Source organism: Homo sapiens, chromosome 6 (genome assembly GCF_000001405.40).
Source record: "Homo sapiens chromosome 6, GRCh38.p14 Primary Assembly".
Taxonomy (NCBI): domain Eukaryota; kingdom Metazoa; phylum Chordata; class Mammalia; order Primates; family Hominidae; genus Homo; species Homo sapiens.
This window is the reverse complement of record NC_000006.12, coordinates 52,939,656-52,966,658: the sequence shown is the minus strand read 5'-3', so window position 1 is coordinate 52,966,658 and position 27,003 is coordinate 52,939,656. Positions and strand designations below refer to the sequence as shown.

Genomic DNA, 27,003 nt, shown 5'->3' with positions numbered 1-27,003 from the left:
AAGCTTTTGTCACTATAGTGAGGACTCGTGCCCCTGAGGCCCCAGAGACCCCTGCCTTTGAAAGAAGGGGATATTAACACTCACTTATCACTTCCATTTGAGAATTGTACAGAACATGGTCCTGTACTTGCATGGAGCAGATGAACAGGAGTGGATCCACACCTGGGTTTCTCAGTGTTCATTCCCTTGGTGAGGTCAGAACAGCTGTTAGCCCACATCCAGAAGATTATGTTCCAAGGAGCAGAGGTTTCCCCTTTCACCCTGTGACTCCAGCTCTCCCAAAGGAAAAACTGCATCCCATCTCTAGTACCCAGACTGGTGTCCACTTGTCTGATATTGCCCGACCCCACTGCTTTATTCCAGCATATCCAAGGGCCCATATCTCTGCATCTCTTTGAATGTTGGCTCTGCAATGCCAGCAAGAAGCTTGCCCTATTTTTCTCATTTGAGAATGGCATTTTGCTGCCGCTCCTATCATCTGGGAGATTTTACTGTCATTGGCACGAGGTACAGCCATTGCTATCTCACCTTCTTGACCAGGTCTCTGGGAAAGACATAATACCTAGAGCCAGAGAATCATGACACTCAGTGTTACATTAGGGACCCGTCTCCTGTGGGCAGCCCAGAGCTGAGTTTTCATTACTAAGAGAATAACTAGACAGAAGAAGGACCAGCCAGCCTGCATTTTAAGTGACCACTGCCTAGAAACAGCTTTCAGACTGGGAGTGGAGGCTTACACCTGTAATCCCAGCACTCTGGGAGGCTGAGGTGGGCGGACTGCCTGAGCTCAGGAGTTTGAGACCACCCCAGGCAACATGGTGAAACCCCGTCTCTACTAAAATACCAAAAATTAGCCAGGCATGGTGGCACGCTCCTGTAATCCCAGCTACTTGTAGGCTGAGGCAGGAGAATTGCTTGAGCCTGGGAGGCGGTGGTTGCAGTGAGCCGAGATCACACCACTGCACTCCAGCCTGGGCAACAGAGTGAGACTCTGCCTCAAAAAAAAAAAAAAAAAACAGCTTTCTGGCGCCTACTAGAAGTGACCTTATCTGGATTCACAGGACAAACCAAAAGGTAACAGTCAGCATGTCTAACTGGGGGAGCAGAATAGAACCATTGTATAAAGGGTTTTAACAGTAGTTCCTGTGCCCATGTTCTTTCACCCAGGATTAGTTTCAAATACAATTTGGTCTGATAAAGGTTTTAGTGAGACAGAACCACAGGAGTTAACCAGACCAGCCCCCCCACCAGCTTTACAGCTTTATCCCGTCTCTCAGAGCAGGTGGAGAGGGGTCAAATGGATCAGAGCTCTGTGCACTAAAAGGACAGTGGAGAGATGGCACTTCCCAAGTGTGCCCCGATACTGAACTTCAACAGTGCTGCTTTATCTTTTTTGTTTTGTTTTGTTTGAGATGGAGTTTCACTCTTGTTGTCCAGGCTGGATTGCAGTAGCGTGATCTTGGCTCACTGCAACCTCAGCCTACTGGGTTCAAGCGATTCTCCTGCCTCAGCCTGCCGAGTAGCTGGGATTACAGGCACACGCCACCACGCCCAGCTAATTTTGTTATTAGTAGAGACTGGGTTTCACCATGTTGGCCAGGTCTCGAACTCCTGACCTCAGGTGATCTGCCCGCCTCGGCCTCCCAAAGTGCTGGGATTACAGGCATGAGCCACTGCGCTGGGCCCAGTGCTGCTTTATCTTTCTCAGAAGGCAGCCAGGTGGAGACCGGGTTGGGGAGTGGGGGTCCTTTGAGTGAGGCATTGCTTGTCAATGGTCCAGTGACTTTTGATTTGCTGGTTGCCTGTCACCTGGTCAGTACCTGGAACATGGCCCATTTACAAGGTGACTTTGCCCATGCCAGAAGCCACTGGGTATGCTGTCCCGTGGTGCTTTTGGCATGTCTGTGAACTCCTTAGCCACCCCACTTTTGACCTCTAAAAGTGTGGTAACTCCTTTAGCATCCTGCTTGGGTCCCTGGTGGGGGCCAGGGAATTGATGAGTTCTCTTGTTAAGGAGAGATTAACAAGGCACAGTCTCTCCTCTCCCTCTCCTCATGTTTTCTCCACATTCATTTTATTGTAAGGTTCATGTTAAGGTTTGTTAGGATTGAGTCACTGAACCACCACGTGATTTCTCTCATCAGGGCATGTGGGTTAACAAAGTGCCTTTTTATCATGGTGTCTCCCAAGACAGTAAAGTGATAAATTTTTAGGAAGTTCCTGCAATTTTCAACATGCAATAGCTCAAGAGTCAATGTAAAAGGACTGAATTTTAATAGCAACTCAATACAGATGGTGCCCAGAGGGTGAAAAGACTGTGGCAAGAAAGGGCTAAGTTAACTTTCTTGGTATCAGACCTTGCTCTTGTTAATTGGACTCTACATGTGGCAACTAACCCACATTTCAGTGACACGACTATGCAATTTTTGCCAAGGGAAGAGTACACTTGTATAACGACTATAATTTTTTCTGTCTTTCCCAAATCACCTCAAAAACGTTTTTCTTCTAACCTACCTGATGCTGCCAAGACCAGCTCAGTCAGGGAGACCCTAACCCAGCAGCGCTAGAGGAATTAAAAACACACACACAAAAATATAGAGGTGTGGAGTGGAAAATCAGAGGTCTCACAGCCTTCAGAGCTGAGAGCCTTGAACAGAGATTTACCCACATGTTTATTGACAGCAAGCCAGTGATAAGCATTGTTTCTATGGATTATAGATTAACTAAAAGTATTCCTTACAGGAAACAAAAGGATGGGCCAAAATAAAGGGATGGGTTGGGCTAGTTATCTGCAGCTCCTTTACAATCAGCTACTTCTCCACTGCTCCATTAATACCTAAACTTTTTCACCTTTTGGAGGAACATTAGAACAGGCACAGATCGCTCATGCTATTGTTTGTGGTTTAAGAATGCCTTTAAGTGGTTTTCTGCCCTGGGTGGGCCAGGTGTTCCTTGCCCTCATTCCAGTAAGCCCACAACCTTCCAGTGTGGGCATCATGGCCATCATGAACATGTCACAGTGCTGCAGAGATTTTGCTTATGGCCAGTTTTGGGGCCAGTTTATGGCCAGATTTTGGGGGCCTATTGCCAACATGATGCAATGGTCCTAGGACTGGGGCTGCAACTAGAAGTGCTGGAAGCAGGGATTTCTAAGCAAGAAACTGTCAGTGTTTTTCAGACCTTGTGTCAGAATTCCTAAGGGCCTGTTGGGGAAGGATTGTGCCTTCATCCTGTCTAGCAAAAGTGGGGCTGAATGAATGCAGCTATATTGCCTGGTGATAGAAATAGCTCACTAGTTCTCCACCTATGGAACTGTACCCCACCTGAATGGCAGTGGACTGAGGAGGAGGTACTTGCTAGACTAGTATTGCTGCCTGCAATCTAGACCAGCACAGTGGCGGTTCTAATGTTCTTCCCAAAGGTGAAAAAGTTTAGGTATTAATGGAGCAGGGGAGAAGTAGCTGAGTGTAAAGGAATGAATAAATGGGTTATAAATGAAGGGAAATCCAACATTACATTAACACCTTGAAAGGGGCTCAGAGCAAGAGATGACATGTCTCTTAGCTCAATTATAACAGATGTCTGAAAGGGTGCAGCTATATGTTTGCTCCTGCTTTTGGAACTGATTGAAAGGAAATCTGCAAACCTGAGTGACCTCCCTCTGAAGACATTAATGAGAGGTGACAGCGTGCTGGCAGCCCTTGCTCACTCTCAGTGCCTTCTGCGCACACTCTGGCCATGCTTGAGGAGCCTTTCAGCCTGCTGCTGCACTGTGGGAGCACCTCTCTGGGCTGGCCGAGGCTGGAGCTGGCTCCCTCTGCTTGTGGGGAGGTGTGGAGGGAGAGGCATGGATGGGAACCAGGGCTGCGTGGTGCTCACTGGCCAGCATGAATTCTGGGTGGGTGCGGGCTCCCTGCCCCCCCCCCCCCACCCCATGGGCTCCTGTGCTGCCCGAGCCTCCCTGATGGGTGCTGCCCCCTGCTCCGCGGTGCCTGGTCCCATTGACCGCCTAAGGGCTGAGGGGTGCAGGTGCGTGGTGCAGGATTGGCAGGCACCTCCACCCACGTGGCCTCAGTGCAGGATCCACTGGGTGAAGCCAGCTGGGCTCCTGAATCTGCTGGGGACTTGGAGAATGTTTATGTCTAGCCAGAGGATTGTATACGCACCAATCAGCACTCTGTGTCTAGCTCGGGGTTCGTGGATGCACTAATCAGCACTCTGTATCTAGATAATCTGGTGGAGACTTGGAGGACTTTTATGTCTAGCTAAAGGATTGTGAATGCACCAGTCAGTGCTCTGTGTCTAGCTCAAGTTTGTAAATGCACCAATCAGCACCCTGTGTCTAGCTCAAGGTTTGTAAATGCACCAGTCAGTGCTCTGTGTCTAGCTCATCTAGTGGGGACTTGGAGAACTTTTGTGTCTAGCTAAAGGTTTGTAAACACACCAATCAGCACCCTGTCAAAATTGGCCAATCAGCTCCCTGTAAAATGGACCAATCAGCAGAATGTGGGTGGGGCCAGATAAGGGAATAAAAGCAGGCTGCCCCAGCCAGCAGTGGCCACCTGCTCAGGTCCCCTTCCACACTGTGGAAGCTTTGTTCTTTCACTCTTTGCAATAAATCTTGCTGCTGCTCACTCTTTGGCTCCACACTACCTTTATGAGCTGTAACACTCACTGTGAAGGCCTGCAGCTTCACTCCTGAGGCCAGCGAGACCACGACCCCACCAGGAGAAATGAACAACTCCAGACAGGAGGAACGAACAACTCCAGACGTGCTGCCTTAAGAGCTGTAACACTCACCACGAAGGTCTGCAGCTTCACTCCTGAAGCCAGCGAGACCATGAGCCCACCAGAAGGAACAAACTCCAAACACGTCCAAATATCAGAAGGAACAAACTCCAGACACGCCATCTTTAAGAACTGTAACGCTCACTGCAGGTGTCTGTGGCTTCATTCTTGAAGTCAGTGAGACCAAGAACCCACCAATTCCGGACACATTTTGGTGACCCAGAAGGGATTATTGCCTATCACCAAGCAGTAAGACTATCACCAAGTGGTGAGACCATTGCCTATTGTTAAGCGGTAAGACTGTCACCTATTGGCAAGCAGTGAGTACCATTGGACCCCTTTTGCTTGCTATTCTGTCCTATTTTTCCTTAGAATTTGGGGGCTAAATACCGGGCACCTGTTGGCCAGTTAAAGGTGACTAGCGCGGCCGCCGGCCTAAAGACACAGGTGTCAGGCTTTCTGGGAAAGGGCTCTCTAACAACCCCTGACTCTTCAGAGTTGGGAGCGTTGGTTTGCCTGGAACCGGCTTCTGCTTTTCCTGTACTTCTGGGCTGAGCTGAGAGTCAAGAGAGAGGAAAGCCATTCAGCTCCGGGGTCCTGACAACAAGTTGGCTGACCCTGCGGTCATGAGCGGAACTCTCAAAGGCGTGTCACCTAAGCGAGACTCGCCCATCTATCCTGTCTATCCTGACCCTTGCCCCCTGGGTCCTAATGCCTGCCAGACAAACTTCCTCTCTTCTCCGAGATTAGTCCCACTTCTAAAAATCGCTCCCTGTCTCTGGGGCTTTTCTAGTTTCTCCTATAAGAATGACTTCTAGTATAAACTCCAAGACTCTGTTAACTTCTTTAGGCACCCTGGCTCACCAATCAGAAAGACATAATTATTGCCCAAAGCCCTGTTGTAGGGGGGACTACCTGGAATTTTAGGATCCCTCCTCAGACTAACAGGCCTAACAAAAGCTATTCCTGAAGCTAGGATATGGGGAGCCCCAGAAATTGTATCCTTCCTATTCATATAAGTGAGGACAAAAGGTGTCACTATTCCAACCCTGGAGATCCCTTCCCTCCCTCAGGGTATGGCCCTCCACTTCATTTTTGGGGCATAACATCTTTATAGGACATGGGTAAGGTCCCAATACTAACAGGTGAATGCTTAGGACTCTAACAGGTTTTCAAGAATGCGTTGGTAAGTGTCACTAAATCCGATTTTTCTCAGCCCTCCTTGTGGTCTAGGAGGACAGGCAAGGGTGCAGGTTTTCGAGAATGCATCAGTAAGGGCCACTAAATCCGACCTTCCTTGGTCCTCCATGTGGTCTGGGAGGAAAATTAATGTTTCTGCTGCTGCGTCAGTGAGCGCAACTGTTCTGATCAGCAGGGTCCAGGGACCATTGCGGGTTCTTGGGTAGGGGTTGTTTCTGTTGCTGCATCAGTGAGCACAACTATTCCGATCAGCAGGGTTCAGGGACTGTCACGGGTTCTTGGGCAGGGGGAGAAACAAAACAAACCAAAACCGCAGGCAGTTTTGTCTTTCAGATGGGAAACACTCAGGCATCAACAGGTTCACCCTTGAAATGCATCCTAAGCCATTGGGACCAATTTGACCCACAAACCCCGAAAAAGAGGTGGCTCATTTTTTTCTACACTACAGCCTGGCCCCAATATTCTCTCTCTGATGGGGAAAAATGGCCACCTGAAGGGAAGTACAAATTACAATACTATCCTGCAGTTTGACCTTTTCTGTAAGAGGGAAGGCAAATGGAGTGAAATACCTTATGTCCAAGCTTTCTTTTCATTGACAGAGAATACACAACAATGCAAAGCTTACAATTTACATCCCACAGGAGGACCGCTCAACTTACCCCCATATCATAGCCTCCCTATAGCTCCCCTTCCCATTAATGATAATCCTCCTCTAATCTCCCCTGCCCAGAAGGAAATAAGTAAAGAAATCTCCAAAGGACCACAAATGCCCCCAGGCTACTGGTTATGTCCCCTTCAAGCTGTAGGGGGAGGGGAATTTGGCCCAACCCGGGTACATGTCCCCTTCTCCCTCTCTGACTTAAAACAGATCAAGGCAGACCTGGGGAAGTTTTCAGATGATCCTGATAGGTACAGAGATGTCCTACAAGGTCTAGGGCAAACCTTCGACCTCACTTGGAGAGATGTCATGCTACTGTTAGATCCAACCCTGGCCTTTAATGAAAATAATGCAGCTTTAGCTGTAGCCCGAGAGTTTGGAGATACCTGGTATCTTAGTCAAGTAAATGACAGAATGACAGCTGAAGAAAGGGACAAATTCCCTACCGGTCAGCAAGCCATCCCCAGTATGGATCCCCACTGGGACCTTTACTCAGATCATGGGGACTGGAGTTGTAAACATTTGTTGACCTGTGTTCTAGAAGGACTAAGGAGAATTAGAAAAAAGCCCATGAATTATTCAATGATGTCCACCATAACTCAGGGAAAGGAAGAAAATCCTTCTGCCTTCCTCGAGCAGCTATGGGAGGCCTTAAGAAAATATACTCCCCTGTCAGCCGAATCACTCGAGGGTCAATTGATTCTAAAAGATAAGTTTATTACCCAATCAGCCACAGCCGCAGATATCAGGAGAAAGCTCCAAAAGCAAGCCCTGGGCCCTGAAGAAAATTTGGAGGCATTATTAAACCTGGCAACCTCAGTGTTCTATAATAGGGACCAAGAGGAACAGGCCCAAAAAGGAAAAGCGAGATCAGAGAAAGGCCACAGCCTTAGTCACGGCCCTCAGGCAAACAAACCTTGGTGGTTCAGAGAGGACAGAAAACAGAGCAGGCCAATCACCCGGTAGGGCTCGTTACAGTGTGGTTTACTAGGACACTTTAAAAAAGATTGTCCAATAAGAAACAAGCTGCCCTCTCGTCCATGTCCACTATGCCGAAGCAATCACTGGAAGGTGCACTGCCCCAGAGGACAACGGTGCACTGCCTCAGTGAGACCAAGAACCCACCAATTCTGGACACATTAATACAATATGATGGACTGGACTAATTATTACTGATTAAATGGATTCTAGTAATGTGGCAGTACTTTTTAAGTTGTATGTCCTTTTAATGTTCAAACACCTTGGTGTTCAAAGGTGGGGGAGGGTAGCCTGTGCTATTGTGAAATACATATTTGGTCTTCCTCTGCTTTTCTGGCATACAACTCCTAAATTCGTGGAATCTCTACAGTGCTGTCTTTTGTATGCTAATGTTGACTGATAGCTGCAGGATGGGGCTGTTCAATTGGAAGGACAAAGACATGGTTAAAGGGTTGGGACTTTCAGCCCCAAACCCCAACCTCTATGTAGCGAAGAGGGCCAATGGCTTAATGAATCATGGTTACATAATGAAGCCCAATAAAAACCCAGGACTGGATTCCTGGAGTTTGAGGAGAGCTGAACAAGTAAAGGTTCCTGGAGGGTGACAGGCCTAGGGAGTATATGGAAACTGCATGCCTCTTCCCCACAACTCACCCTATGCCTCTCTTCATCTATATCCTTGGTAATACCCTTTATAGTAAACTGGTAAACTTCAGTGTTTTTTTGAGTTCTGTGAGCTGCTCCAGCAAATTAATTAAACCCAAAGAGGGGGTTGTGGGAATCCCAACTTGAAGCTGATTGGTCAGAAGTTCTGGAGGCCTGGACTTATGACTGGTGTCTGAAAGGGAGGCAGTTTGGGGACAGAGCCCTCACTCTCTGGGATCTGATGCTGTCTCCGGGTGGATAGTGTCAGAATTAAATAGGAGGACACTCAGCTGGTGTCTGCTGCAGAATTAATTGCTTGCTTGCCGGTGGGGAGAAATCCCCACATATTTTGGGGTCACAGAACTCTTCTGTGTTGATTGTTTTTGTGTTTCCAGCAGAGGAAAAATATGGTGTGAGGTTTTTTTTGAAATAATATACATAATTTGTTCTTTCTTTTTTCTTAAATTATGAGCTAGAGCATTTATAGGGTAGGGTGCAAATGCATTTATGTGCAATTTTAAGACTAATAAAGACCACTAATTCTGCTTAAGAAATAGAACATTGTTGGCATCCCGGAAACCTTAAATGCTCCTCCCCAATAACAACCCCATTCTCCTCACTAGAAGTAACGATTATCCTGCTTCCTTGGTGATTATTTTCTTGCTTTTCTTCATAGTTTCACCTCCTATGTATGCATCCCTCAACACTAGTTTTGTTTTACCCGTTTTGGAATTGCTATAAATGGGGAAGAAATACCATACAGCTGGTCAGTATATTGTTTAATTTTTTTAAATATCCTTTAGAAAACTTTGAGCCAGGAATCATGGCAGCCAGACCCAAGCTCTACTACTTTCATGGCAGGGGCAAGATGGAGTCCATCCCCCTGGCTGCTGGCTGCAGCTGGAGGGGAGGCTGGTTCCTGACTGGGATTGGGAAGGATGGTAATTTGGGTGGGAATGAAGTGGCCTCCTTTCTGCTTCAAGCTTTGGAATGGTGCCTACAGGCTGTATCTATTCTTTTCCTTTCCAATTGTCTTCCTTTGTAAGAGGTGAGGGAGGGATCACAGGATGATGGAGGATTAGGGAGGATTGGGGGAGCTGTCGGGTGAGGTCATGTTCTAGAAGCTTCATAGGGGCTAAAAAGATTTTTGTGGATCACAAGACAAAGAAGAGAGAGGAGACCCACATCTGTCTCGTTCTCTTCATTGGGACCAGCTGTTTTTCTGGGGTCTTTCAGCTCTGCCTCAGCACCCCAGTCATGTAGTACTCATGGCTGCTGGAATGTTAGGCCTAGCTGCAGTCTGGCCTCCCCCTTAACTCCTCCCTGAAAGATCTACCTCATGGGATCTTTCCTTAACTCTGAATTCCCTCCACACTGACTTTTCCATAGATTTTCACAAGTGCCTTGGAATTATTTTATACAGATGTAGGCTTCCTTTTCCCTATCTGAATGCCAACTTCTCTAGAGCAAGGACTCATTACTTTGTTTGTTTTTCTCTATTCCCTTTTAGGGACATCTCCACTTAAACTGCTTACCCACATCTCAAGGTTTGGGGGGACCAAAAAAATCAATCTTTCTCACAAAAGCTTTAGAAACATCATCAACAAATCATGATAATCTCACCTGATTAAAGATCTCTGGATTCCTTTCATTGAACATATGAGCATTAAAGAGAAATTTAACTTGTCTTTATATGAAGGGAAAATAACAGAGGAGGAAGAAGAAAGAGAAGAGGAAAAATCATTGGGGAAGTTGGAGAAAGGACATAAGTTTGGAAAGAAGGAAGAACTTAGGTGAAGAAAAGGAAAAAGAGGAATGGGAGCAAAAATAAAAAAATCAACAAAAAACAAAATCTCTTTGTTTTCTTGAGGACTTTAAAGTTGGAATAATGTCTCTTTATCTTTTATTTAGTTTGAAGAAGAATTTCTTGAAACGAGAATAATATGAAAAGTTGCAGAAGGGTAAGCCTAGATTTGTTCAATATTATCTTATTAGAGAAAAATGGAAAACCTGCTTTGGGAAGTATTTGTTTTGATAAAAGAGACAGAGCTCTAGAATGGCTACTGCTAGAAAAGGCAAACACATAGCATGACTGCTAACATTGATCGGCTGTTCATCATGTTCCTGACACACAGCTTAATTTGCATCAGCAAAGGCCACACCAGTTAGCCTTCAGAAACTCTTATCAAGTAGGTCATGATGGTGACTTTGGTTAAGAGGATAGAATGAAACTCATATGTGTCAGAGCTAATTGGTTTAATTCTTCCCATCTCACTGAAGAATCCTTTAAGAATCCCCACACCCCTGCACCCGCCTAATCCCCGCCATGTTAGCCAGGCTCGTCTCAAACTCCTGACCTCAAGTGATCCGCCCACCTCAGCCTCCCAAAGTGCTGCGATTACAGGCGTGAGCCACTACACCCAGTCAACACCCTAAACTTTGAGAATCAGAAGCGCTTATACTATAACATAGTTACAGTAAATGTAGAAAATCTTAAATAATCATGTTAACCAACACACAAAAGTGCATGAGACTACCAAACGAATCTCAGATTTAACATGAAGCAAATGATAGCCATTTCCTAAACAACTAGGGTCTTTAATTCATCACTTTGGATAGAACCTAAAAATCACAGATAGAAATTAGAAGTGAACCATCCTTAGATTTACTGCAACCACTGAACAAGGGTATCTTAACCTCTCTTTGCTCAAACCACAGATGGATGCTTGCTTTTCGGCCAAGTGTCTTTGGTTGAAATGGATGGAATGGTGCTGACGCAGACTAGAGCCATCCTCAACTATCTTGCTGAGAAGTACAACTTCTATGGGAAGGACCTGAGGGAAAAAGTCAGGTACCATAGTGTTCATTACTCTACTTGATTCTTAGACAAGCTTCTTCACTTCTCCACCAACTGAGACCTGGTTCAGGTGTACCTTTCAATCTGGATTGAGACAAAAAAGACAAATGGGACAAAGGGGAAATGACTTGCTAGACCTGGCATGCCTTGTACTTATTCTTTTTTTTTTCTTTTGAGACAGGTCTCGCTCTGTTGCCAGGCTGGATTGCAGTGGTGTGATCTCAGCTCACTGCAACTACCACCTCCTGGGTTCAAGCAATTCTCATGCCTCAGCCTCCTGAGTAGCTGGGACCACAGGCATGTGCCACCATGCCCAGCTAAATCTTGTATTTTTAGTAGAGACAGGGTTATGCCACGTTGGCCAGGCTGGTTTCAAACTCCTGGCCTCAAGTGATCCACCTGCTTTGGTCTCCCAAAGTGCTAGGTTTATAGGCATGAGCCACCATGCCCGGCCACCTTGTACTTACTCTTAATAAGTACTCCACATCCCCCTTTTCTGTGTACTACTCATAGTGCACTGAATGCTGCATTCAACATTCTCCTATTCTCTCCCCACTCCTAACAAAATATGTTCTTAGAAAATAAACTGGTAAGCTATTCTACATGAAGGTAGAAATGACTGATTCATCACACACATACTGAGCATTGTATCAATGATCTGTTGACTATAAATAATGCTCTAAAACATATCACCTTGAAACACAGTGACTTAAATCAGCAAGCATTTGTTATTGCTCACCTGTCTATGGGTGAGCAAGTATCTGAGTGGCCCATCTGGATCAAGCTTGACTTAGCTAGGCTGCACTCACTCATGTCTATAGTTAGCTAGATAGCTCTGGTCGTGGGTGTTGGCTATCAATTGGGATATGAATAGACCATTTATCTCTCATCCTCTCATCCTGAGCTTGTTCTCATGGCAGCAAGGCAGAGTTCTGAGAGTGAGAGTGAAAGCACACTGGCCTCCTAAGTTCTGGGTTCAGAATTGGCACCTCATCATTTCTACCTCATTACACTCATTAAAGGAAGCCACAAATAGACTGGGAAATAGACCCCATCTATTGATGGGAGGAGCTGCCAAGTTTCATCACAAATACAAGAAGGTGAAGTTTTTGGCCTTTTTTTGACCTCTGTATACCACAAACATCTATGCTACACTGGGCACTGTCCTAGGCCTGTCAGAAAATGATTGGGTAATTATTCACGGGGATAGTTTAGTTTCATAAGAAATAACTAGACTTAAGACAAAACAAATACTTGCAACTATAAACTCTTACCGGGATTTGGGGTCCTGGGGCCTTTTCAGAGGTCCCTAAACAGTCATCACTATGAGCACGGACACAGTGTGGGTGGTCAGTATGCACAGAAGACGCTGAGGGAGAAAGCCCAGGGCTCAATTGTTCAGAAAAAGGAGAAAGAACATAACATAGGAATGAGCAACGTCCATAAAAAGTAGCAGCCCATGCCAACTTTCCCATATCTTCATCTTTAAAACAGGCTTAGTCATTCCAACCTGTAATTCTGAAGGTATATGGCAAGAGAAGCAATGTCAAACAGTATGTGAACATGGTACTTTTGTAAATAAGTACAAATATGCAAACACAGTCTGTTTCTTATTGTTTTGATGCAAAGTTTTTAATTGGTCTTTAAAAATCTCCTTGGTTTTTTTCTAAGACATGCTAAGGTATAGATGGTGTTGTTAATATTCTTTTTCTTTGGGTTAGCCATAAATTGTAGTAAACTAAAGCAAGTGGGCTAGGTGACACTAACATGAAAGAAAAATTATTTGTAATTCAAATAGGACAATGAAAGTATATTACTCAATTTTTTCTTTTTCTTTTTCTTTCTTTCTTTCTTTTTTTTTTTTTTTTTTTGAGACAGAGTCATGCTCTGTTGCCCAGGCTGCAGTGTACCAGCATGATCTTGGCTCACTGCAACCTCTGCCTCCTGAGTTCAAGTGATTCTCCTGCCTCAGCCTCCCAAGCAGCTGAGACCACATGCATGTGCCACCACGCCCTGCTGACTTTTGTATTTTCAGTAGAGACAGGTTTCACCATTTTGGCCAGGCTGGTCTCAAACTCCTGTCCTCAAGTGATCCACCCACCTTGGCCTCCCAAAGCACTGAGATTACAGTGTGAGCTACCATGCCAGGCCTTTTTTTTTTTTTTTTAATTTTTAAGAGATGGCATCTCAGTATGTTGCCCAGGCCAGACTCAAACTGCTGGGCTCAAGCAATCCTCCCATCTCAGCCTCCCGCATAGCTGGGCCATAGATGTACCATTAAGCCTGGCTCCATTATTCTTTTATGCTGTTAAAAAGAAAAAGACTACAGAAGACCATTAAAACAAATTCATTAAGCAATTAGCATATAATGGGGAATACAAAGACACTCTTGAAGACATAACCAGCACAGCATGAATGTACTAATAGGCCAGTAAATAATGGAAATATAGATACTATGGTTTGTTTGTTTATTGATTTATTTAGTGCTTGGCAATGAAAGGAAAACTTTAAAGGGAAGGAAATACAACAGTTTGACCTGACTAGGAAATTAAACTTTTCTTTCTCAGTTGCCAGGTCAACAGAAGACCTGTTAAATTATCTGTCTTCTCTAAGTAAGTGAAAATGTTCTGGTACTAATTGTTTTGTAGTTTTAATAAACTTCATTGAGTTTAGTTTTTAAAGCCATAATAATCAATTATTTGTTTACGGCAGATTTCAACTTAAGGGCATTCATGAATTCTTTCATACATCCTTTTATTCAATAAGTATTTCCAGAGACTCTACTATATCCTGGGCACTTGGCTGGTTCTGGAGCTAGAAATCATTCATGAGAGTGGAAGCTTAAGAGGAAAAATAAAAATTATTTTTTCCTGCATCTATTTGTACTAGAGAAGTGTTGGATTAAGAACCCTGTACTCAAAAGCTCTCCACCTGAGGGTCAAATGGTTGTTTTGTCAGGATCAACATGTAAGTTGATGGCACCCTGGACCTGACGATGATGATAATTGTGGCCCCCTTCAAATCCCCTGAGGAAAAACAGGAGACCCTTGCTTCCATCATGTAGAAAGCTAAAACTCAGTACTTGCCTGCCTTTGAAAAGGTAGGCTTCAGGGATCCAGGGCTTTTACCTTTTCTGTTTCTGAGAATATTTCAAGAGTGAATATCTGAAAAGACACACAGAGGCCATGTTAGAGCTTTACTGCTTTTGGATCAAAACTTTAAAAAGGATTCCAGAACAAATTACAGGTAAAATTATGGAAACTCCAACAAAATAGAGTTGGAATATACCAAGTACAATGAAAGTATACAGCATTTCTGTTCTGTCTTTTAAATTAAGACATCAGACCAAGATGTGACCACCTTGAATACTGTCAGGTATTTTTTTAGGTCTAATACTAGAGGCTAATCATGCCTCAATCAAAAGATAAAGTCTCTCTCTCTCCTTTTTTTTTTTTTTTTTTAAGACAGAGTCTCACTCTGTCACCCAGGCTGGAGTGCAGTGGCGTGATCTCGGCTCACTGCAACCTCTGCCTCCCCAGTTCAAGCGATTCTCCTGCCTCAGCCTCCCGAGTAGCTGGGACTACAGGCGTGTGCCACCATGCCTAGCTAATTTTTGTATTTTTAGCAGAGACACGGTTTCACCATGTTGGCCTTGGTCTCGAACTCCTGGTCTCAAACTCCTGACCTCAGATGATCCGCTCGCCTCAGCCTCCCAAAGTGCTGGCATTACAGGCGTGAGCCACTGCACCAGGAAATCAGCCATTTTTTTAAGGAGCTCTGGTTCCTTTTATGTTTAACTTTTTCATGCCATAGTAGTCCTAGAGAATTATGATATTTGTATGGTGTTGGCACAGACAGGCAAAGCAGCTGGCAGCTGGAAGAGACTGCTTTGGGGGCTCCATCACTCCAAGCCTCTTTTGACAACCTCAAGAGCTTGCTCTTCAAATATTCTCTTATTGGCCAGGTGCCGTGGCTCACACCTGTAATCCCAGCACTTTGGGAGGCCAAGGCAGGTGGGTCACCTGAGGTCAGGAGTTTGAGACCAGCCTGGCCAACATGGTGAAACCCCGTCTCTACCAAAAATACAAAAAATTAGATGGGTGTGTTGACAGGCTCCTGTAATCCCAGTTACTCAGAAGGCTGAGGCAGGAGAATCACTTGAACCCGGGAGGTGGGGGTTGCAGTGAGCTGAGATCGCACCATTGCACTCCAGCCTGCATGACAGAGCGAGACTCCGTCTCAAAAAAAAAAAAAAAAAAAACAATTCTCTGTTATTGACACACAGCAGTGAAGTGTGGCACCTGGGTAGTGCATTCTGGCCCAAATAACCCTCCTTAATCGGATGTTGGATTATTTAAAAGAACACTCATTTATAAGACTATTTTATTTAACTTGGAGTTGGATATAATAGTTTTTGAAAATGTACCTTAGTGTCTATTATAGTTTGTTCCCAGAGAATCTTTTAAGAAGGTGGAACTATATGATTCATTTATATCATAGTTGTTATTTCTGAAATAAGTAGATGCTAAATACTTGGGTGTAGTCTTTGGCCAGGGCTATGTTACTTCTATTCTGTAAGACACAATGTACTAAATAATTTTGATTGTGTTTTGGATTTAAATACAAACTTACTAATTTCCTTATGTTGAGTCAAAGAACTGGGAACTATTCAAAATGTGATATCACCCTCCCTTGCCATTGAGACTTGGGCTTGTGTTATTTTTTTAGTTGCCAAACCATCTTTTCATGATATTCCTTCTGATCAAGAGAATATATCCTGGAGGCTGCTGTTTCAAACAAAGCATTCTCTCTGGGGCTTTGGGATAGACCTTTTCTCTGTGTGAAAGAGAATGATACTGAGCAGAAAACAAACCCTGCTTCTCTGATTCACCTATTACTAGATAACTAAACTGCTTTTTCCAAATCAAAGAATACTGTACTTCAACATAATACTTCAATTCAATAATGTAGATGCTGTATTTTGAAATATATTAAGTCCAAGTTTTTGTATTTAGATGTCAAATTTTATTTCTGAAAATGAGGTGAGTTTTAAAAATTATTTTATAAGTAGATGTTCATTATATAAAAAATTAGGACAGAACTGTAGAATGTAGAAAGAAACCACTACTATCCTCACCACCCAAAGATAAATCTCAGTATTATTTTTATATGGTTCCTCCTAGTCTTTCCCCTATAAATACATTTTTATTTGTTTTTTGGACTTTTAGATAATTATGATTATATAGAAGATAATTTTGCCTGGTATTCCATTACAATTAACCCCTGATCAACATGGGAGTTGGGGCATATAATTTTGACTTCTCAAAAACTATGAATAGCCTACTGTTGAATGGAAGCCTTACTGATAACATAAACAGTGGATTAACATATTTTGTAGCTATATGTATTAAGTACTGTATTCAAAGTAAGCTAAAGAAAAAACTTTATTAAGAAAATCATAAAGAAGAGAAAATATATTTACTATTCATTAAGTGGAAATGGATCATCATAAAGGTCTTCATCCTCATCATCTTCACATTGAGTAGGCTGAGGAGGAGAAAGAGGAGGGGTTGGTCTTGCTGTCTCAGGGGTGGCAGAAGTGGAAGAAAATTCATGTATAAGTGGACCTGTATAGTTCAAACCTGTGTTGTTCAAAGGTCAACTGTATTTAAAATATTTTCAGAAGCAGAACTGCTATGTACCTACTACTTGGCAGTAACAAATGTCAGTACTTTTATTTTCTTGCTTAGGAACTTTACTTTCTCCTTAAAACAAATGTGTATAGATAGCTAAATCCTCCTTTGAACTGTACTCAAACATTATACCCTTCCTCTCTCCCTTCTCAGAGGCAACCACTATCAGAAATTTGATGTAAGTTCTTTCTCTTCATTTTTAAAAATTGAGACCTGGCTTTGAGCTGTTTTAAAAGTGTTTACAGTGTGGATCTTAAAATATTTTTATGTACATAGCATCATACTATAAGTTTATTCTACTACTTGTTTTTATCAACCAACTTTATGTTTTTGAGCCTTATAGGCAAATATCTTGTCATTGCTAATACATTTGTATTTACCCCTTTCGCTTTATTTTATTTATTCTATTTACAAAAACAAAACTTTTCTTTGAGTTTTCCTCTGTTTTTCTAGATCCTGGTAGATGATCTGGTTTTCTTTATTCCCAACTTTTCTTCTATGGTTCAGAAGGTAAACATTTCTTTCTGAAACTATTAATATTTATCCTTCTCTTGATAGGACAAAGATTCAACTTTTTTCCAAACTTTTCTTTCTGTTTCTGTTTTTGTTAAATAATAGTTTAGATCCAACGTGTTTTTAAACTTCTTCTAATTTTTTTTTAAGCCACTACTTATGTATATTTATCAACACATTTAACTGATTCCTTGGCTCACCATTGCTCCTTGCTTCTCATGCCTTTCTTCTGGGTGCTTTTTCCTTCTAAGGGAAGAACATTTTTTTTGGAGTTCTTTCAGGAAAGGTCTGTAAGTGGTTAACTCTTTCAGTCTTTGCTAGAAAATATCTTTATTTTTACCTTTACACTAAAATAATTATTTAGATGGTTATAGAATTCTAGATTAATAATTATTTTACTTCAACACTCCGAAGATATTATTATTTCTTCTGGCCTAGATTTTTGCTTTTTAGAAGTCTTCCATTAGTGTGGTTATTTTTCTTCTGATGGCATTATATTTATCTTTTTTCTCATTTTAGATTTTCTCCTTGTCTGGTATATAGTATACTTTCTTCTTTCTTTCTTTCCTTTCTTTCCTTTTCTTTCTTTTCCTTCCTTCCTTCCCTCTCTTCCTGTAGGGAAAAGAAAGAGAGATCAGACTGTTACTGTGTCTGTGTAGAAAGGGAAGACATAAAAGACTCCATTTTGAAAAATACCCATACTTTGAACAATTGCTTTGCTGAGATGTTGTTAATTTGTAGCTTTGCCCCAGCCACTTTGACCCAACCTGGAGCTCACAAAAACATGTGTTGTATGAAGTCAAGTTTTAAGGGATCCAGGGCTGTGCAGGACGTGCCTTGTTAACAAAATGTTTACAAGCAGTATAGTTGGTAAAAGTCATCGCCATTCTCTAGTCTCAATAAACCAGGGGCTCAATGCATTGTGGAAAGCCACAGGGACCTCTGCCATTAAAAGCGGGGTATTGTCCAAGGTTTCTCCCCATGTGATAGTCTGAAATGTGGCCTCGTGGGATGAGAAAGACTTGACCGTCCCCCTGCCCGAAACCCGTAAAGGGTCTGTGCTGAGGTGGATTAGTAGAAGAGGAAAGCCTCTTGCAGTTGAGATAGAGGAAGGCCACTGTCTCCTGCCTGCTCCTGGGAACTGAATGTCTCCGTATAAAACCCGATTGTACATTTGTTCAATTCTGAGATGAGAGAAAAACTGCCCTATGGTGGGAAGTAAGACATGTTTGCAGCAATGCTGCCTTGTTATTCTTTACCCCACTGAGATGTTTGGGTGGAAAGAAACATAAATCTGGCTTACGAGCGCGTCCAGTCATAGTACCTTCCCTTGAACTTAATTATGACGTAGATTCTATTGCTCACATGTTTGTTGCTGACCTTCTCCTTATTATCACCCTGCCCTCCTACTACATTCCTTTTTGCTGAAATAATGACAATAATAATCAATAAAAACTGAGGGAACTCAGAGACCGGTCCCGGTGCAGGTCCTTGGTATGCTAAGCGCTGGTCCCCTGGGCCCACTGTTGTTTCTCTATACTTTGTCTCTGTGTCTTATTTCTTTTCTCAGTATCTCATCCCACCTGACTAGAAATACCCACAGGTGTGGAGGGGCAGGCCACCCCTTCACCTTCGTCCCTCTCTCCCTCCCTTTCTCTCTCTCTCTCTCTCACACAGACACACACACACACATACACACACACACACACACACACACACACACACACACGGTCTCACTCTGTTGCCCAGGCTGGAGTGATCATAGCTCACTTTAGCCTCGACCTCTTGGACCTAACAATCCACCTCAGCCTCCTGAGTAACTGGGACTAAGGCGCATGCCGCTGAGCCAGGCTGAGAGAGTGTGTGTGTGTGTGTGTGTGTGTGTGTGTGTGTGCATAGATGGGGTCTCTCCATGTTGCCCAGGCTGGTCTCAAACTCCTGGGCTCAAAAGATTCGCCCACCTGGGCCTCCCAGTGTTCTGGGATTACAGGTGTGAGTCACCACACCAAGCGATTTTGTGTGTGTGTGTGTGTGTGTGTGTGTGTGTGTGTAGATGGGGTTTCTCCATGTTGCCCAGGCTTGTCTCACACTCCTAGGCTCAAAAGATTCACCCACCTGGGCCTCCCAGTGTTCTGGGATTACAGGTGTGAGTCACCACACCAACCTATTTTGTGTGTGTGTGTTGTAAAGATGGGGTTTTGCCATGTTGCCCAGGCTGTCTGATACACATTCAACACTGTGTGTTTACTTCTAGGTTTGTGCTTATCTGCTTAGTGTTCCTTTTTCAATCTGAGGATTCTCCCTTCTTTTTTTGTTCTGGAAAATTCTCTAACAAATAGCATTGAAAATCACCACTTTCCTATTCTATTTTGTCCCTCTGGGCTCCTGTTAGCTTTATGTTGAAGCTTCATTCTGTGTTACTTGTCTCTTACCTTCTTTCATATTTTTGATCTCTGCCTCCTTAGATGTGTTTGTCAAATTACTGATTTTTTTCACTTTCTCCATGGAGTTTTTATTATATTAATGTTTATATTTTTCATTTCAAAACTTTATTTGTATCTTCTTCAAATCCATATGCTCTTTCTTTCTATATGCCTTTTGTGGAGTACTACTTAGGGAAAAGTGGGAGCAGGGAAAAGCAAAAAGAGAAAGCAGTAAGCTACAAGTCTGTCTTTCTTCATGGTCCAAGACACATAATACTCCTGTGCAAATAACTCACAATCTTCCCGTTCCCAACTATCACCAGACACCTGCAAGTCAGCTCACTTCAATCACGGCGTTATCAGTACTGCACAAAGTCCCCTTTTGCAGACAGCATAGACACTATCTATAAAATCTCCAGCAAGCCTTTGTTTCTTTGCAGTCAGCTTCTCTTCTGCAGATCCTGCCCATTGCCTCCTCACAACAAAGTTTCCTACTTTCTTGAACAAATCTGCCTTTCTTTACAACTATCTTGGTAAATTCTTTTACCCCCGTGCCACCAGCCCAGATGGTCGTTACTCACCCACAACACCTTTTTATCATCTCTTTGAACATTTGAAAACATTTTTAACCCTTTACAGAATCAACTCTTATTTTTGGCTCTGTGGTTCAAAATTCTCCTTTTTCATCAGTCTGTTACCTCTGTCTCATAGATGACTTTGGGTTTCCTTATATGCTGTGTAATTTTTAGCTGTGAGTTTGTCTTTAGCAGGAGTCCTATTTCATTTATTTGATATAGCCCATCAAGTGTTTATACTATAGAATTCACTGATTCTGGCGATTTTTCCCCATCCACACTAACATTTATTTTTATTCTTGCATATATTACGAGAAGATACATAGCACTTGAATTTACCTTTGCTCATTATTTATCAAGTATACCCATATGCATCTGGTGCATAAAGATGCACCTGAGAGATTTCTAAATATTCACTCTTCACTGGATAGTGAAAAATTAGCTTTCTATGTGGCTCTGGTTTGGACTTGTGGGATCACATTGGTCACTTGTTTCTACTGGTGGTATAGCCAGCAGGTTTAAGCTAGTTGTAACTTTTGTGTCTCTCTACACTGGTGGATACAATTTTGCTTAGCCACCTCCAGGTTTATAATAGGAGCCCAGTACTAGCATTTCACCACCCAAAAGGACTCGATAATCACTGGCAAAAACTTCCCCAAAAAAATTGTGCCAGTTTACAGCATGTGTTAGAGTGTTGGTTTCATCCTATTCTTACCAGCACTGGAGATTTGTTGTTGTTGTTGTTGTTAAGATTCTTTATTAAATCTAATCAGTACAAAGGCTTCATGCTCTTGTTAAGTATTTAGCCATGCAAAATGGTTTTTACTCTCATTTGATATTCTTTATTATTTTTCTTTCTGTAGATTTTGAAAGACCATGGAGAGGATTTTCTTGTTGGCAACAAATTCAGCTGGGCAGACATACAGCTGTTAGAAGCTATTTTAATGGTGGAAGAACTCAAAGCTTCTGTTCTTTCTGACTTCCCTCTGCTAAAGGTAGTGTATTAACATCCACACAAAGCCCAGAAAAAAATGAACAAAGACTGAAGCAAAATGTGCCTTTAGGCCAATCTCAAAAGAAACTTAAGAACATTGGGGTGTGTGTGTGTGTATGTGTGTGTGTGTGTGTGTGTGTGTATGTGTGTGTGTGTGTGTGTGTGTGTGTGGTGGGGTTTTGTTGTTGTTGTTTGGTTTTTTTGAGACAAGGTTTCACTCTGTTGCCTAGGTTCGAGTGCAGTGGCATGATCATGGCTCACTGCAGACTTGACCTCTTGGCCTCAAGCGATCCTCCCACCTCATCCTCCAGAGTAGCTGGGACCACAGGTGAGTGCCACCACACCTGGCTATTTTTTTAATCAGGGAACCTGCCCCGATAGTCACTTAGGTTCTTTTCTATTTTCCTTAAGCATTGGCCAGCTTGAGAAATAAAGGGACAGAGTACAAAAGAGAGAAATTTTAAAGCTGGGCATCCGGGGGAGACATCACATGTCGGTAGGTTCCATGATGCCCCACAAACCGCAAAAACCAGCAAGTTTTTATTAGGGATTTTCAAAAGGGGAGGGAGTGTGCGAATAGGTGTGGGTCACAGACATCAAGTACTTTACAAGGTAATAGAATATCACAAGGCAAGTGGAGGCAGGGAGAGATCACAGGACCACAGGACCGAGGCGAAATTAAAATTGCTAATGAAGTTTTGGGCACCATTGTCATTGATAACATCTTATCAGAAGACAGGGTTTTGAGATCAACTTGTCTGACCAAAATTTATTAGGTGGGAATTTCCTCTTCCTAATAAGCCTGGGAGCACTATGGGAGACTGGGGTCTATTTCACCCCTGCAGTCTCGACCATAAAAGACAGGCACACCTGGGGGGGCCATTTATAGGCCTATACCTCCAGGCGTGTATTCTCTTTCCCAGGGATGTTCCTTGCTGAGAAAAAGAATTCAGTGATATTTCTCCCATTTGCTTTTGAAGGAAGAGAAATATGGCTCTGTTCCATCCGGGTCACTGGCGGTCAGAGTTTAAGGTTCTCTCTCTTATTCCCTGAACAATTGCTGTTATCTTGTTCTTTTTTCAAGGTACCCAGATTTCATATTGCTCAAACACACATGCTGTACAATTTGTGCAGTTAAGGCAATTATCACATGGTCTGAGGCGACATACATCCTCCTCAGCTGACAGGATTAAGAGATTAAAGTAAAGACAGGCATAGGAAATCACAAGGGTATTGACTGGGGAAGTGATAAGTGTCCATGAAATCTTCACAATTTATGTTTAGAGATTGCAGTAAAGGCAGGCATAAGAAATTATAAAAGTATTAATTTGGGGAACTAATAAATGTCCATGAAATCTTCACAATCCATGTTCTTCTGCCATGGCTTCAGCCGATCCCTCCATTTGGGGTCCCTGACTTCCCGCAACTCTGCTAAAGGTAGTGTATTAACATCCACACAAAGCCCAGAAAAAAATGAACAAAGACTGAAGCAAAATGTGCCTTTAGGCCAATCTCAAAAGAAACTTAAGAACATTGGGGGGTGTGTGTGTGTGTGTGTGTGTGTGTGTGTGTGTGTGGTGGGGTTTTGTTGTTGTTGTTTGTTTTTTTGAGACAAGGTTTCACTCTGTTGCCTAGGTTGGAGTGCAGTGGCATGATCATGGCTCACTGCAGACTTGACCTCTTGGCCTCAAGCGATCCTCCCACCTCATCCTCCAAAGCAGCTGGGACCAAAGGTGTGTGCCACCACACCTGGCTATTTTTTTTTTTTTTTTTGTAGAGATGGGGGTTTCTCTATGTTACCCAGGGTGGCCTCAAACACCTGGCCTCAAGCAGTCCCCTGGCCTTGGCCCACCAAAGTGTTGGGATTACAGGCATAAGCCACCATGCCTGGCCCAAGAACACTGTTTTAAAAATCATTCTGGCTGGGCGCGGTGGCTCATGCCTGTAATCCCAGCACTTGGGGAGGCTGAGGTGGGTGGATCACGAGGTCAGGAGATCGAGACCATCCTGGCCAACATGGTGAAAACCCGTCTCTACTAACAATACAAAAATTAGCTGGGCATGGTGGCGCATGCCTGTAATCCCAGCTACTCGGGAGGGTGAGGCGGGAGAATCACTTGAACCCAGGAGGCGGAGGTTGCAGTGCGCCGGGATAGCACCACTGCACTCCAGCCTGGTGACATAGTGACTCCGTCTCAAAAAAAAAAAAAAAACCATTCTTGGCCTGGCGCAGTGGCTCACACCTCACGCTGTAACCCTGTCTCTACTAAAAATACAAAAATTAGCTAAGCGTGGCAGCCTGCCCCTGTAATCCCAGCTACTCGGGAAGCTGAGGCAGGAGAATCACTTGAACCTGGGAGGTGGAGGTTGCAGTGAGCTGAGATTGTGCCACCGCACTCCAGCCTGGCAACAGAGCGAGACTCTTCTCAAGAAAAAAAAACTAAATAAACAATCATTCTTTTCTTCATTTTGGTTATTTTTCTTTTGCTTATCTACAGGATCTGTTAGGAAATAAAACTTTATGAAGGGGGAAAAGAATTGATTATTTTGATGTCTAGCATGAACATTTAGTACTTTCCTGTTTTTAGTGCTTTTAAAATTTTCTTCCTGACAAAACAAAGCTGACAAGTCTGTCTTCGTTGCTTCTCCCTCTAGGTCCTACCAGACAACCCTGCCTGCTTTTAGTCCCCCTGATTTTGGGGCCCCACATAGTTCCTGCATTGTTCAGAGCATCTGCTTAGGGGACACTGTCAGCCTCCTGTTGCACTGCCCCAGCCCTCAGACAGAATTCCACTCCTGCCAGACCTTACCTGGCCTCTGTTCCAGTTCCTGAGAAACATTTTATCTAATAGGTAACCACGGGTCTTGTGGTTTAAGAATTAGCAGTTTTTCTTATTACAAAAGAAATGCAAGTTCATGTAGTTACATTAGACATTTGTGTAAACCAAAAGACGAAAAGAAAAAAGACTGGCTGGGTGCGGTGGCTCATGCCTGTAATCCCAGCATTTTAGGAGGGTGAGACAGGCAGATCACCTCAGGTCAGGAGTCCAAGACCAGTCTGGCCAACATAGTGAAACCCTATCTCTACTAAAAATACAAAAATTAGCTGGGCGTGGTGGGGCATGCCTGTAATCCCAGCTATTCGGGAGGCTGAGGCAGGAGAATTGCTTGAATCCGGGAGGTGGAGGTTTCACTGAGCCAAGATCACACCACTGCACTCCAGCTTGGGCTACAGAGCAAGACTCTGTCTCAAAAAAGAAAAGAAAAAAGACCTATAATCTCACCAGCCAAATGTTATCTGCATGAGATTTTCTGACCTATTATTTTGCATTTTCCCTCCAAATAGGGTCATACTAAAGATTGTTTTGTGGCCTGCATTTAACATTCTTTTCAATTATCATGAGTATATTTACAGGTCAACAAATATTCTTTTGAAACAGTATGCTATTTTATTTTCATTAATCAATAGAATCACATCTTCTTTAAAAAATCAGAGCTATGGCCGGGTGTGATGGTGCACGCCTATAATCCCAGCACTTTTGGAGGCTGAAGCAGGCAGATCACTAGAGGTCAGGAGTTTGAGACCAGCCTGGCCAACATACTGAGAACCTGTCTCTACTAAAAATATAAAAAATTAGCCAGGTGTGGTGGTTTTCACCTGTAATCCCAGCTACTCAGGAGGCTGAGGCAGGAGAATCACTTGCACCCGGGAGGTGGAGATTGTAGTGAGCCAAGATCACGCCATTGTACTCCAGCCTAGGCGACAGAGTGAGACTTCATCTAAAAAAAAAAAATTGAGAGCTATATTAAAAGAGCATAAATTCAGAATTCTCATTCCCACCCCTTCCCCGCCACCTTTCTGCTCCCATAATCACTTTATTGGCATTCTATGTATACTTCCAGTGTTCCTATTTATGCTGATAAAAGCAAATCGGAATATATAGTTGTATTCTTTGCCACTCTCAAGTTTCTTGCACAAAATAGAAAATAGTGTATATTCTGTTCTGCCCCGGGCTTTTTATTATTATTATTATTAATGCATTTTAGAGATCCTTCCTTGTCAATACAAGGACCTTCCTCTTTCCTGTTACATAAGAGCATTTTAAATTACTAGTTTATACTCCTTGTAGAGAAGTACCATAATTTACATAACCAGTCTCCTTTTCCTAGAAACATAGGTTCTTTCCAATTTTTAGCATGTTAACATCCTTTTTTTTTATTTTTTGGTGGGGGACAGAGTCTTGCTCTGTTGCCTGGGCTAGAGTGCAGTGGCACGATCTCGGCTCACTGCAACCTCTGCGTCCTGGGTTCAAGCGATTCTCCTGCCTCAGCTTGCTGAGTAGCTGGGATTAGAGGCTCATGCCACCATGCCCGGCTAATTTTTGTATTTTTAGTAGAGACAGGGTTTCACCATATTGGCCAGGCTGGTCTCAAACTCATGACCTCATGATCCATCTATCTTAGCCTCCCAAAGTGCTGGGATTACAGGTGAAAGCCACCACGCCTAGCCCCTGTTAACATTCTTATAGCTATTTCTTTCTTAAAAAAAAGTTTTGTAGAGATGGGGGTCTCACTCTGTTGTTGGGCTGGTCTTGAACTACTGAGCTCAAACAATTCTCCCACCTCAGCCGCCCAAAGTACCAGGATTACAGGTGTGAGCCACCACACTTGGCCTCTTATAGCTATTTCTTTGCTCACACCCTTACTTATTCCTTTATAATAATTCCTAAAACAAGAATTGATAGGTCAAGAATATGAATGTGACCAGATGTGGTGGCTCGTGTCTGTAATCCTAGCATTTTGGGAGGCTGAGGCAGGTGGATCACTAGAGGTCAGGAGTTCAAGACTAGCTTGGCTAACATGGTGAGACCCTGTCTCTACTAAAAATACAAAAATTAGCCAGGTGTGGTGATGCATGCCTGTAATCCCAGCTACTTGGAAGGCTGAGGTGGGAGAATTGCTTGAACTCAGGAGGTGGAAGTTGCAGTGAGCTGAGATTGTGCCACTGCATGCTAGCCTGGGCAACAGAGTGAGACTCCATCTCAAAAAAAAAAAAAAGAATATGAATATTTTAGGGGTATGCACTGCCTGATTGTGACTTTTTAATAGATAATATAACTCATGCTAAACTTGTCAGCAGTTGTATTATTATCCATCCCAGAAATACCCAGCAAACACTTGTTGAGGGATTAAGCAGATTCAGTACACTGTACTCCATAAACTGAGGTCTAAGCACCCTTCATTCATGACAAAGTTGAGATTTTTCTTAAAGGTTGTGACTGCTATTGAGGCCCTGATTTTACTCTTTCTTATTTCAGGCATTTAAAATAAGAATCAGCAACATCCCTACAATTAAGAAGTTCCTGCAGCCTGGGAGTCAGAGGAAGCCACCCCCGATACCCACTATGTTGAACTTGCCAGGAAGATAGTGCTGCTCTAATGGCAGCAGGTTGCGTGATGACAAACATGATGATCCAGTCACAGCACCAGCATGTGCTGTCTGCAGAGGATAATAGAAGCAAACTGTAGATCCCAGGAGCAAAGTGTCTGAAAAGAACAAAACCATGCTGCCATTAACAGCAACGCTGATTAAATGTAGTATAAAATCATTCAGATGTGTGTGGCTTTTTAAAGTCTGTCAGTTGTGGATGATAGTCTACAACTTTTATGAAATAAATG

At 43.2% G+C, this 27,003-nt stretch overlaps 1 pseudogene, besides 1 other annotated feature; it reads left to right on the top strand.

The window, feature by feature from the left end:
• Positions 4,421-4,621: a silencer, noted in NCBI's record as "peak5857 fragment used in MPRA reporter construct". NCBI's record gives its function as "represses an SCP1 promoter by STARR-seq MPRAs in K562 erythroleukemia cells {active_cell/tissue: K562}" and the evidence as "EXISTENCE:reporter gene assay evidence [ECO:0000049][PMID:32103011]".
• GSTA9P (glutathione S-transferase alpha 9, pseudogene) lies at positions 9,137-26,752 on the top strand (annotated as a pseudogene).